The sequence below is a fragment of the Homo sapiens genome, chromosome 4, assembly GCF_000001405.40.
Source record: "Homo sapiens chromosome 4, GRCh38.p14 Primary Assembly".
Taxonomy (NCBI): Eukaryota; Metazoa; Chordata; class Mammalia; order Primates; family Hominidae; genus Homo; species Homo sapiens.
The window spans coordinates 151,647,450-151,661,526 of NC_000004.12; the positions used below are offsets into that span (position 1 = coordinate 151,647,450).

A 14,077-nucleotide genomic window follows, 5' to 3' on the forward strand; every position below is an offset into this window, starting at 1 on the left:
GTTGAGTCAAGCGTTTCCAGTTTATATTCTGATATCCACCCCAACAATGTCATTCTGTCCACCCAGCTATAATTTTCTTAGGTAAAGTGTATTTAAAAGCTGGGTTACTTGACTAAGAAAATGTCAGTATGTTTGATATTAACGTAATTTGTAGAAATTAAGGTTGTCTTACGGATTCTTGGTCTTTATATAAAGATGCATGGAAATCAGCAATTTATGTAATTTAATTATATTTTCCTATTAGGCAAATTAGTATGGATATCTTATATTTTCATACCTAAAAGTTATTTTTTAAAACATATTTAAAAATTGGCGTCTTTCTAAATTTACTATGAAAGTTTTTTCAAGAATGATTCTGTGGCTAACCTTGCCTCAGAATTCAAAATTCAAGTTAAACCTATGATTCTCCATAACTTGCCAACTTCTCTCCTGGTGTGATCACTTTTAATGCTTTGAAGAAGGTAGTATTCCCATTTTACAGATGAATAAACAAACTGAGAGAGAGGAATTGTCTTGTTCATGGTTATACAGCTAAGTAGGTTCTCTGGTTTCAGATGCCATGTTCTTTCCACTCTCCTGCCTCTGAGGTTGCCTTATAGCAGATAAATGCCCTAATGGATGGGTGGTGACATAGCTAGCTAGCTAGCCAGAGTAATTACTGTCCGGGGTAAATAATTTGCCTAAGAAAGTAGCAGAGCCAAGACTTAGGTTCTGCATCTTGGTTCTATGTCTTGGTTCTAGTACTTTCTTGGGCAAATTACTTAAGTTTTCTAAACTTTTTTTCTTATCTGTAAAATAGTACCTACTTCAAAGGGCTATTCTCAGGAAAGCAAGTGAAGACATGTAAAGCTCTTAGAAGACTGCCTCGCATGTAGTAAGTGCGCAATAAATACTGCCAGTAGTAGTATTTGATGTCTTTTTACATAACATAGATAAGAGATAAACACTAACGTTTTAGCTTAGCAGTAGAGCTATAAAATATGAATTATGTCTACCCTAATGCCCTGGAAATGGGTATCCTTAAAAGCTCGATTCTGACCCAGTCTGGTAGAGATTTAGAGCATGAAGAGACGTGAGGCTTGCAAAGATGTGGCACTGACGTAAGAATGGAGGTTGGTGTGAAATTGCCTGTGCTTGAACTGTGGCTCTTCCACAATTTGGGTTGGGTGTTCTTTCATCTCTGAGCCTCAATTTCTTTATCTGAAAATGGAGAAAATAATATCTACCATATAGGATCATTGGGAGAATTAACTCAGATAGCATTGATAAAGCACCTGCAGCCTACTAGATGTTTAAGAAATGATAGACTATATATTTTTCCCTCAGTCTTTTTCTCTTGAGGGAAAATGTAAACTCATAGGAAGATATTTTCGCAGCTATTTCAGTAGTGAAGTTGGAACTTTTAACATCAGAGGCAGTCATGGTAACATAAGCAGCATTCTTGGGTTAAAATGACTTTTGTAGTGAATATGATTTTACTCTAAGAGACCATTTGATAATATCAACATCCCTGATAGTCCCCAGGAAGACAGAATGAGTTAATAGGCTTTTCTAAAAACCCAGGATTTTTCTACAAAACGTCTGGTTCTCAGATTCATGGATTACCAGCCTTCCGCTTTAGATTCAAAGTAAAAAACTTTAAGGTTATTACTCTGTGGCAGGTACTATATCAGGTGTATTACCTAATTTAATCCTCTCAACAACCTGAGAGATTGCGATCATCAGCTCTTCTTTCTCTAATGACTCGTACCAGATAATAGATTTCCATCGGCTATAGCCACTATCTGACTGGCTATATTGGTTTTCTATCTTCCGTGAGGGTAGAGTTTCTATTATTAATCTTTCCTTCTTACAATCTAACCATATTATTCAGAGGTCATTTTAATCAGATATAATTAGACCCAAAGTAGCTGGCAAGACACAGTCTTAGCCCGAATGGGTCACAACCCCATCCACTACCTTTGTCCCCACACCTCCCTTGTTCTAACCAGCCTCTGCCTCCTGTGCAGGGCCTGTGGAGCGGCCATTCCCCGAAGCGTTCTCCGAGTCAGCCTGCATTGTGGAGTATGGGAAAGCCCTGGACATCAGCTACCTGCAGTACCTGTGGGAGGCCCACACCAACATCCTCCGCTGCATGAGGGACTGCCGTGTCTGGTCCGCCCTGTATGATGGCGACTCCCCCGACCCTGAGATGTTTCTCCAGAGTCTGACGGAGGAGGGCAGTGTGAGCTCGGCCTGCCCTGTGTTCGGGCTCCCGCAACAACTCCCCAGGAAGACAGGACCTCAGCTGGCTCCCAGAAAGGACAAGAGCCAGACAGAGCTGGAATGGGATGACAGCTATGACACTGGAATCTCCTCAGGGGCTGACGTGGGCTCCCCAGGGCCTTATGATGATCTGGAGGTTTCAGGCCCCCCAGCACCCATTGATCCCCCCAAACACATCCAGGAGATGAAGAAGAATGCCCTCCTGCTCTTCAAAGGGTCCTACATAGAAGAGTCGGACTTTCAGGATGATGTGATGGTGTACAGGCTGTGTGCTGAGAAGGACTCCGAGGACATGAAGGATTCTCAGGAGGAAGCTGCTAGGCCACCAGCTGAAGCCCAGGCTGAAGTTCAGAGTGTCCCCATCAACAACGGCCCCCTCCTCAGCACCCAGCCAGAGACAGATTCAGAGGAGGAGTGGAATAGGGACAATTCAGACCCGTTTCACAGTGAGCCCAAGGAGCCAAAGCAAGAGAGGGAACCTGAAGCAGCCCCAGAATCCAACTCAGAGTTAGCATCCCCTGCCCCTGAGGCAGAGCACAGCTCTAACCTGACAGCCGCCCACCCGGAGAGCGAGGAGCTCATTGCCCAGTATGACCAAATCATTAAAGAGCTGGATTCCGGCGCCGAGGGCTTGATGGAACAGAATTACCCCACACCTGATCCCTTGCTTCTCACTAAGGAGGAAGAAGGGAAGGAAGAGAGTAAAGGAGAAAAGGAGAAGGAGGGGAAGAAGGAGCTAGAAGATGAGGAGGATGACTTTGACTCTTTTATAGCGGAGATGCCTGCTGTAGAGACTGTGCCTTCCCCATTTGTGGGGAGAGATGAGGCTGCCTTTGCCAGTCGCCATCCCGTGAGGACTCAAAGCACCCCATTCACAGGTGACCATCTTAAATTGCTTTGTGGTTTCTGCTTTCGAAAGTACTTGTATATATTGGAACAGGAAAGGAAGGTAGGAAAAGGTAAGGGATATTATCGGTTTGTCTAACAGAGGGCTGCAAATATTTTTGTAAAGATCAAAGAGGGGTGGCTTTATTTTTATTTTTCCATTCTTGTAATGATTATCTTATTTATTTCTCAAGCTAGAGGTTAGATTTTATTACTTAGTAACTTCTTTTGATATGTCAGTGTTAAAACAGTAGGGCTGATTAAACCACACAAGAATCCAGACGTCTTATTTAATGACTTCATTTATTCTAGCGTAACTAACTTATTTTTCTCCTTAGCACTTATTTACATTTATTTTTAACAAATGACTGTCTCCCCCAGTAGAATGTATGCTCTGTGAGGGTGGAGCTCTTTCCCTAGCACTGGAAGAGTGAACAGAGCACAGAATAGGTGCTCAGAGTCCGTGTTGGGTGACAGTAGCTGTGCACACATCAGAGGCATTGGGGTTAGCTGTGCCTTTGCCTGGGAGCTCATTTCAGAGAATCACAAAATCTTTATCCAAAAATAAGTGGAGTGGACCCACGTCAACTAATAGCTCTTTGAAAGAGTGGGTATATTCAATGATACACTACCAGCCACAGGTAGAAATCTTGCAAGAGGTAAAGGGATAGGATAGGACTTAAAGATAGGCAGATTAGGATGAGGAATTATGATAGAAAACATCATTAAATATTAGCCAACAAAATCTGCATTTACAAATCATGGTGCAGAGGGAATCGCCATAGATGAGAGGGCTCACTAAGCTCAGGGAAGGCCAGGGTGGGACCACTGGATGGTGTTCAGGTAGCAAGGAGAGGGGCTGGAAGATAGTAGCAATGGAGGGTGACAGTGGCCTTGGACCAGGCCAGGGATTGAGTCCTGGTTCTAGCATTTAGCAGCATGTGGCTTTAGCATCCCAGGCCCTCCATTTGCTCCTGTGAGGACTGAATGAGATACTGGGAGGTCATTATTCATTTTATGACACGTAGCACCCAGGAGAAGCCTGGTGAGGAGGGACTGTGCTCCTACCTCTTGGAGTAACCCAAAATAGATGAAAACAGATTGCCTTCTGGTCCAGCCAGCCAAGTAGGTTTATGTGATTTCAAGGAGCTCTTCCAGCCTCCTCCTCCAGTATTTATTCATCTATTTACTGATGCCTGAAGATTTGTATATACAGGAAGAAAGCTTTTAATTCCACAATTAAAGGCTTGCAGTTCTAGTTGAGATAACATTTCAGTCTGAATGAGTTTTAATTAAAATTCAATCAGTCAGTCAATCATAAGTAAAATGGATTAGATAATCCCACTTTTCCCAGTTGATAAGGGGGACAGGGAAGGGGGAGTTGGAAGAGTTCGCTTGAAGGGAAAAGGGCAGCAGTAACTTAGCATGTCACAGCTTGCCTTCTCATAGGACATCTGGGCTATCCATAGCCATGAAGATTATTCTTTAGAATGGCAGCTTTCTTACAGAGGAGCTTCATTCCTGGGAAATGTGTAAATAGAGGAAAGAAAGTATAGCTCAGGGCAAGGAAAAAAAAAGCTAATCCAACACCTTATTAAATAACATCAATATTTTACATATAATACACCTGAGAACTGACAAAACATACTACAAGCTCTTTGATACATACAGGTAATTGTCACTAAAACCTTCCTTTTTCCTCTTTTGAACCTTATACACAGCTTTAGGAAACATCTCTCTTTCCATGTATGTGTGCTTTATAGTTTCCAAACTTCTGAGTGTGTTCTGTAGCATTAGGCTTAACTTCTTCTCTCCAGGGCATCTGATTTCTACTGAAATGAGTTCACTTCCCAGCAAAATCAAAGCATTCCATTTGTCTAATTTTATTTATTCATGTGTTCAGCAATCTTTTATTGATCCCCTGAAGTTTGGCAGGTTCTATGCTAGGAAATAAGGACACAACATTAAAGGAATTCACAGACTTTTAGAGGAGACCCCAACAAAGAAGTGTACTCTTAGTGGGAAATGCATGATTAGTTGTCATATGCCAAGACCAGTGGGAACCCAGTGAGGGGAGTGGGAATGGCCTCACAGAGGAGGGGCATGGACAGTGCAGGGGAGTCCCCAGGTGAAAGCAGGTGAGAATGATAGTCCAGGCAGAGGAGACACCAGGAGGAGACTGAAGAGCCTGCCAGCCTGTGGGGTATGACCGCATTGGGTGGGGAGGTGGGAGAGAAGGGCAGAAAGCTTGGTTGGTGCCAGCTTATGGAGAGCCTTTGGGCCAAGCCAAGGAATGGAAACCTTGTGCCCTGGCACTGAAGAAGGCCCTGGAGTTTAAAGTTGAGGAATGATGTGACTGGATCTGAAAAGGCCAGCTTTGGTAGGAGTGTGGGGAGAGCACTGGAGTGGGGAGAGGTTGGTGCCAGGAAAAACAAGTGAGACACCCTTATTGCCGTGTCAGAATTCAGAATGCGCCAGTGCTTTTATCTAGTAATTCTGTTTCTAGGAATGTCCTCAGAGCTGTATTCACACTGTGTGCTAAGGTGTACATACAGGGATGTTCATTGCAGCATTGTTTAGAATAGGAAAAGACTGGAAACAACCTAAATGCCCACCAGTAGGAGACTGACTTGCTTGTGCAACACCCTAGCAATCTAATATTTTGTGGTCCTGAGATGAGACAGCTCTGTATGTGTTGACACGAGGTGTGGTCTCTAGGGTGTATTGTTAAAAATACTAGGTCTCTCTGTGTGTGTGTCTCTCTCTCTCTCTCTCTCTCCCCCTCCCTCTCCCTCTCTCTCCTTGGCAGGCAAGATAATGCATTGGGTAAGAGCACTGGAACAGGTGGTATGAATTAAAATTCTATTATTCACAAGCTGGGTTCACTTAGCATTCTGCCTCCTCTTTAAATGGGGATAAATAATAAATATACTTCCTAGGGTTGTTTTGAATCTTGAGTGAGTTGATACATGAAAAGTACTTAGCACATTGCCTGGCAGGTAGGATGTTATTAATAAATGTTTTCAGTAATAATTAAATCTCTATTAACATAGAAATGCTGTTGCTGGAGTCCAGACCGGAAATGAGACTGACCTTAGGCAGTGGAGCAGGGGAGGTGGAGCTTCAGGTCCACATCAGAGATATGTCCAGGGTAGAATTTGCCGAGGGAGGCACGGAATCAATGGCCGCTCCATTCTTGGACAGGGGAAGTGCAGGAAGAGGGTGCAGGCTCGATGGAGGCAGGGGAACGGGAGAGCGGTGAGTGGATGACAGGAGGGGCAGTGGAGAGAGTCTCAGTGATTTTGAAGAATGTAATACTTTGTGAGGTGGGGAGTCTATCTGTCCTCTTAGGAGATGTGGGAAGAAAATAAAACTGCTGTCCTCCAGAAACACCTGCGGCTTCCTGAATTGTGCTGAGCCTTTTGATTTTCAGCTGCTTACCAGATCCCCCTCACATTTTTTGTTAAGCAGGGTTTTTTTTTTTTTTTAGTGCTAGAAACTAAGAATAAAGTAGGAATTTGAAAGTTTTAATACATTTTTAATTACACATGCCCAAGGAGTGATGAGTCATTTCATTAGCAGATGCTAATTATAATGTCAAAGTGGACTCCATTTGTATCATTACAGTCTACTGGCCTTGACCTAATGATATTCCGTCATTCACCTAGGTCAGTGATGACATGATCTTCCTCTCCACAGGGCATGGGATTCAAGCTCATGTGCCCCCCCACCTCACCCCTTATAGTAGTGATGTCCTGTGGATGGTCCCCCCTGGTCACTGCATGGTCAGCAGTTTAGAGTTTGTAGGCCAAGCACAGTCTGGGACTGGGGAAGGCACAGTCTGGGACTGGGGAAGAGAAGTTGAAGGATCATTTTATGGTCATATGTTTTACAGAAGACTCTGCCCACCTAAGTATGTCTTAATTCACCTGCTTTTGCTCCATCTGGAAGGAAATAGATGCTAAGCCAGGGACTGCGGGGGAGCAGGTGAGAGGAAGCTGAGGACAGCAGCCTTCCCCCTCTAGATCTACCTTGAAGGCCGAATTGTGTTGCGATGCCTTAAGAGTTGCCATTGACATTTCTGGGGTTCTTTATGGGAAAACCATTAGTTGCTTTCAAACTGGGGTCCCTATCCAGAGTTTCCAAATGTGTTTGGCAAGTCTCCCAGTTGTTTGTTAAGCATCTTCAAAGAGTCTCTATCTGAAGAGTTCATTGACCTCTTATGTCATGGAAAGTGACTAAAGACCTCTGCCTCCCGTCCCAAGGATGGGGAAGTTGAGGCTAAATGCCACACATGAGGGGATGGTGCCTCATGTTGAGATCCCTTAGAGACATCCTTAGTGTTCCTGGAGACAGGGATATTGCAGTTACCCTGTTCCTCCCCTGTGTGGTAAAGGTTTCGGTTTGGTGTTCCCATTCCACACACAGAGCTTCTGTTCCTTGCAAAGGGTTTTACTCTCTTATGCTACCAGGGCTTCTGAATGAAGGAAGCATCTTGTGATGAAGTATGTTTTTGTTAAACTCGTATTAATGTTGGTGACATCTTCATAAGGCATGGCTTATATATCAAGGGATGTGTGCTTTCGTTGTAAACATGCCATGGTTTAGTAGCATCATCAATAGCTCCACCAAGGGAAATGCAAAATTCTCATTGATTGTGTTTAACAGAACACTTTTATGGTAAAAATTTAAAGTATCTTCAAGTAAGTTTATTAATGCCAGATTTATTTTTGGTTTTCCCCTGCCCTCAATGAACTCAAAGCATATTAATTTTCTAGTGACCCAAAGTAGCAGAAACTTCTTTTTGCCTATTTTTCTTAATGGACCGCTTTTGTATGACTAATTTTTTAACTGCTTTTTTAAAATGACTGCTTTTGTAGTCATACGGATTTTATTTTTTAAGAAATCTGTGACATGCCGAACTGTATCTCCCAAAACTGACACCCTTTTCTCTCTCCTCTGAAAATTCACGTGTGGTTACCGAGTTGCTAAGGCTACTAAGATTATAAGCAGGGGCTCCTCCACCTCTCACCTATTTTTTTTTATTGTTCCACATTACGACACTTGACAAAACCAAATTTTTCTCAGTGTGCTTGTTCAGGATAGGCAACCCCTGTTGACAGTGTTGCTATTTGATAAACATAGTTTGTGCGTTTTTGGTGTTCTTTACAGAGAATTTTTCATTACTAAGACTTTTAATGGCCTTTGGTGCTTACATGAAACCCTACCGTCCATACAGTCTGTGCATCATGAGATGATGGCTGTCATGTTTTAAGCATTGGCAGCCCCAAGAAATACAGGAATGATGTAGAAAAGCATATTTTAATTTTAAAAAGTTAAATTATTTGTTTTTTTTTCCCGAGATCTGTGATAATTTTAATAAGTATCAAAACTGCTCATGGAGTGAAAATGTCAGTAGCCATGCCTATTTTTCTGTTTTCTTTTTGCCATGGTGGTTTGTTTTCCGTTTTGGTTTTGAGGCAGGAGAAAACGTGGCCATATTTGCTGTGTCTGGCTTGCACCTGTGGGCCCATGGTGGTTTGGGAGATGTGGCACCGATGGTTCTGCAATTGTCAGGGAAAGGCATCCCTGTGAGCCCAGCCAGCCCTGAAGCCTTGTGTTCTTCCTGCAGGCCCATTCATCAGCGTAGTCCTGTCAAAGCTGGAGAACATGCTGGAGAACTCTTTACATGTTAATTTGCTGCTTATCGGGATCATTACTCAGCTAGCCAGCTACCCCCAGCCACTCCTGCGCTCCTTTCTGCTCAACACCAACATGGTCTTCCAGCCAAGCGTCCGCTCTCTCTATCAGGTATGTTAGCTGAACCCACATCCACACCTGTTGATTTTGTGGGTGCTAATTTGCAGGGCATCTATTTCTCTTTATTTTGTTTTTCAAAAATTCCTTTGCTCTAATTCATTTGCTTTCCTTCCCTGTCCTATTAAGCTCACTGTGTAGTTTATTCTAGACAAACTGTAGAGCTTCATTTAGTTTGATGTTTTGACGGTGCCCTACGCAGAACACCCAGGCAGTTAAAAATGAACAAATGTCTAACATCATAATAGTTCCCATAATGAGGGTGCTACCTGCAAGATATATTGATAACTGGGAGTGGAATTTCATGGTGAGGCATTAACATCAGTAATGCTGTTTTTGACAGGTCCTTGCATCTGTGAAAAACAAGATTGAACAGTTTGCTTCTGTGGAGAGAGACTTCCCAGGGCTCCTCATTCAAGCTCAGCAGTACCTGCTCTTCCGTGTGGACATGTCTGATATGACCCCTGCAGCACTAACCAAAGGTAAGCCAGGTTTCTCCACAGCGCCCCTCCTTAAATTCCTCCTCCACGTCCCTGGCCTACTGGCCTCAGTTCACAGATGCTGCACTGGCTTCTGGATCCTAGAAGCATTCAGAGATATTTTCATTTTTATGCAACAGGGAGGAACCACCTCTTAGCATTCTTAAACCTAAAGAAAGGTCTGCCTTGCTCACACCTGGCCTGTTTCCTCTGTGGAGGGTCTAGAGGGGATTTTGTTTTTTTAACTGAGAGTGGTGCCTGCAAGGAGCTGATGTGTAGGGTATTGTCAGGCTAGAATAAATCACACGGCACACATGGGCCAGAAAGAGGCATTATATGCACTCTCCGAGCCATTTTTTTGGGCAGCCTGTTCTGAGGAGGGCATGTGTTCTCTTTATTATGTTTTCAGAGGCTCTTGGGCCAAAAATAAGTGTGCTTTAGGGCCCTAGGAGGTAAAACAAAACACAAAACAAAAAAACGGTTTGGACTGGGAGAAGTAAAGTTTATGCTCAGCCTAAAATCTCTGAGAGTGCCTTTTTATGGGCTCTAGAGGAGATGTTAGGCCAGGGCCCTGGCAGAGTGAGGAGTGGGGGTGGGGGCATGGGTCGGTGCTAGTAGGAGCGCTGAGGATGGCTGGCCAGGCCTGGGAGCACCACTGCTGCTTTACCTTATTTAAGCTCTGGTTGGACCGATTTGCTGACCATTGTCCCCTGAGCTGTGACTTAGGCCTTGGTAGGAGCAAAGCAGGAATGCCCCATATTGCACTGGCTTTTACTTTTCCACACACAGACCAGTCAGGCTTCTTTGTGGCAGATGAACAGTGGGGAGAGTAAGGCTCTCAGTCCTGGGCCAAAGGCAAGTGATCAGAAACAAGACTGGCAGTGAGCGGCAGAAATGAAACTCAGGGCAATTGTTCCACCTTTCAAAGAAGCTGAAAAGAACCCAGAACTCTGAAGTCCTGATGCTGCCCCTGTGCAGCTATTTGATCTTGGTTGCTTTACCTCACAGGCCCAATGTCCCTTGACTTTTAAATGAAGGATTTGTTCTCCATCTCTTAGGTGCTTTCCGGCTGAAGCCAGAACTTGGGTTGTGATGAGCTCTTAGGGTACTGCAAGTTAGGATTTGAAAGAAAGGTAGGCCATGTGCCACTGGTAAAGCGAGGAGTCGGGCTTTGAGAAGAGCAGGCAAAGGCATTCATGGAGGGAAAGAAGCCTGGCATCTCTGTGAGAAGGTAGACTTCGGGTGCCATGTGGCCTCCTTAGACACATGGGTGGTAAGTGTGTGACCTGTGTTCCTCCTGAACAGGGCGCATGCTGCTGCCACCCACCCTGTGAGAGAAGGTACACCAATTACCAGTATAATAAACCACTGCAAAAACTCATTGGCTTAACACAAGGCCATTTATGATTGCTTATGAATCTGTGTGGTCATCTGGGTGTTTTGCTGATCTGGGCCAGGCTGATTTTACCTGGACTCGCTTGTGTGTCTGCCATCAGTGGGTGGCTGGATGTCTAGGATGGCCTTACTCACATCTGTGGCTGTTGGCTGGAGTGATGGAGGTGATGGGGGTGTTTCTCACCATCCAGCAGATTAGCCCAGGCTGGTCCATGTCACAGTTAATGGGGTTCCAAGAGTGAGAGCAGAAGCATAGAAAATCTTTTGAAGCTCAGACTCGGAGCTCACGTAAGGTCCATTCTGCAGCATTCTGTTGGCCAAAGCAAGACAGAGGGCCAGCGCAGATTGAAGAATGGAGCAAAAACCCCACCTCTTGATGGGAAGAGTGGGAAGAGCTGCAACAAGTTGTGGGCATTCTGCAGTCTCCTAGACAAGGCCTGGTCTTCATTGTATTTTACAGTTTATAAGGGGCTTTCTCAAGCGGTCAATTTTCATTATCAAACAGTGCTCTGAAAAGGGCAAAAAAGGCACCATTAGCTTAATTTTCATTAAGGAAGCCAAAATTAGAGGTCCAGGGTATTCAACCAGGATCATGAAACTCAAGTGCCTGAGCCCGTCTTAGCTAATTCAAGGAGATGAGTGTACACACTGACCAACCTAGATATACTGAGGTGCACTAGATACTCAGGGTACACTGAGCCTTAACCCCTACATTCAGGGAAGGGGTGGGGGTCACTCACACCTTAGGCTTGTCCTGGTTTCAGAATGTCTGGAGGCCATGATTGCAAAATATGTGCCCAGGGAACTTGTTCTCACTGCCTAAGGTTGTCAAATTAGTTAGCTGGGTTCCATGCTCCTTAAGTAAGGTCTGTGACACTCCAGGGCTCTGACCTGTAAGAATCTTCTCTCTGGATATAACATTTTTCTTTTACTTGAGTTTTTTTAGATTAACTTTCTAACTTTTCCAGGTTAGCCAAGTCATACTCTTCCCCCACTTAAAGCATCTTTAACTGACAGAATGAGAGTTTCCTGTCCCCTTGTACAAAGCTGACTTCTGAAGCATTTACTGTGACATGATTTCCTGTAAATGAGTCAAATCTGGGAGGCCTGTTCTCACTGGGATACAGAGCAATTTACAATGAAGAATTATGGTAATGGGCCAAATATTTGGGTTTCCAAGTGTCTGTGTGCTCTGCCCTTTGCCTAATGCTGCTGCCAGGGAGATGAACACATAATGTATCTCTCTCCTCACTTCTGAAATCTTCCCAGTATTAGTCTTGAAAACCTTGTGTTGCAGCTTTTCAGACCCAGGGCAACATTTCAGAAGCCATTCCTAATTCTGACATTTATTTATACTTCCCTCCGTCCTGCCTTTTTCTTCAGGTGCTCGTGCATGCTTGTTGGACCCTTTTATGAGGGGCGTAACTCAGGCGTCTGTAGCCAGAGCTGCTCCATTATGCAGGCCCTGCATTCCCTTCACCTCCTGGCAGCCCCGATGAAAAACGAGCCTCCTCACTAATGCTTCCAACAGCAGTAAAAGTCTGTGTGGCCGCTGCTCCAGAGAGAGCGGACGTCCTGTTCCCAGTTCCACATTATTATTCTTGAGGCTGTTGGTCTCTGAGATTCAGCCACTTGCCATGCCTTTCTCTTTCTACTCAAATACTTTCCAAACCACAGAGTAACAGTTCACTGTATTTACTTATATTCAGAGCCCTTTTACTGGGCACTGATTCTAGAAGGGAGATCAGGTAGGTAATGGCCCCAGTTTACAGAGATGGAAACAGACATTTTATGATGAGCTGGTGGCCAGGTAGGGACCATAACTCGGGTCTGCTTGCTTTTGAATGGAGAATTTGATGGTGCTTGGTGACACACTGAAAGGCCAAGACCCCGGAGGGGAGCCCGGGTCAATGTGCTGCCACCACTGATGGAATCATGCTATGGATCTCCCAGCCAGCCCCTGGTCTCCCTCACTGGGTGTTCTGCCTTCATTAGTGAAGACAGTTCTGATTCTTGGATTCATACTGGGTAAATGAGCCTTAGCAATGACACTTTTTATTCACAGATCAAGCTAGACAAATGAGTCACAAAACCCCTTTTTAGGGGGGAAGAGAATGAATGAATTTGGAAGAGAATGAATGAATTTGAAGGAGAATGGGGAGAGGAATACGAGCAGCTGCAGGGAGAATCAGGAGTAGGGAAGACTGATGAGATCAGTTCCTTCACTCATTTATTCAGCAAATGTTTATTAGCTTCTGTGAATACAGAAGTGTGTTAGGGGTTGCTAAAGACATGTTATCAGATAGGGCTCAGCCCTGAGAAAGGTTGGAGTCTAGCAGAGGTGATAAAACATAAACAATGTGAGGCTGAAGGGCAATGCAGGCCTTAGTTGGTCAATAACATGGAGAGGAGGCTAGAATGAGACTGTTTGGGTAGAGGGCAGAGGAAGGCATAAAGACTATAGGAATGACTTCTGGGGGCAGGAAACTGGAAATTCATTGTGAAGTTGGTGGCAACTGTACTGATGAGGATGATGTGGTAGCTGACACCCATTCAGAGGTCCCTGTGTACTTTATACCTATTGACTCATTTAATCCTTATAACAACTCTATGAATAGCTTTTGGCAGGTGAGGAAATAGAAGTACAGAGAGGTAAAGCAATTTGCCTGAGGTCAGCCAGCAAGTGGCAGACTCTGTGGTCTTAACCACTGTACAAATAATGCCTCTAAGGCTAGTAAGATTTAGGTGAGCAGAGAATGGGGCAGGGAATTCCAGGTGGAGGAACAAGCATGAACAGTGCAGGTCTCGGTCTGGGAGTAGGTCCATGGTGTCCCAGTCCCCATTGGAACGCAGGCCAGCTTCCTTTGTGAGCTTTGCTGGGCGCTTTGGAGAGTGACAGGGCCTGAGCTAGGGTTGGGGATGAGAAGGGGTGCTCTCCAAGGTTGACATGTACCTCAGTGACATCAACACTTTTGTGCTCACTCTGTTGCCGGGACATGAATTTCTGCTGAAAGGTAGCAGAAGACAGATTCTCAGCAACTTTTCCAGTTCTTTATGGCATTAAAGCTGTGATAAGCCTTAATCTAAAAGGATATTTAAAGCAGTCAAGTGGAAGTTGTTTTTTTTTTTTTTTTTTAACACTAAAGACTATAGTAGTGAGATGTGGAAAGTACTATAAATGTCAAGAATTTTTAGTACTGTAGTTAAGCAACACTCTGAGAAGAGTGTTGAAAAAT

The 14,077-nt window shown here is 44.3% G+C and overlaps 1 protein-coding gene across 10 annotated transcripts in view; it reads left to right on the plus strand.

Annotated features, from left to right (window-relative positions):
* The window catches only part of FHIP1A (FHF complex subunit HOOK interacting protein 1A), a 261,328-nt gene that overhangs the window by 238,274 nt on the left and 8,977 nt on the right, over positions 1-14,077 (plus strand). For all 10 annotated transcript variants that reach the window (XM_024454201.2, XM_047416127.1, XM_011532221.3 and 7 more), the window contains 3 exons: positions 2,010-3,143; positions 8,783-8,961; positions 9,311-9,449. In XM_024454201.2, coding sequence (XP_024309969.1) covers positions 2,010-3,143; positions 8,783-8,961; positions 9,311-9,449 — 1,452 coding nt within the window. The remainder of the gene's footprint in view (positions 1-2,009; positions 3,144-8,782; positions 8,962-9,310; positions 9,450-14,077) is intronic.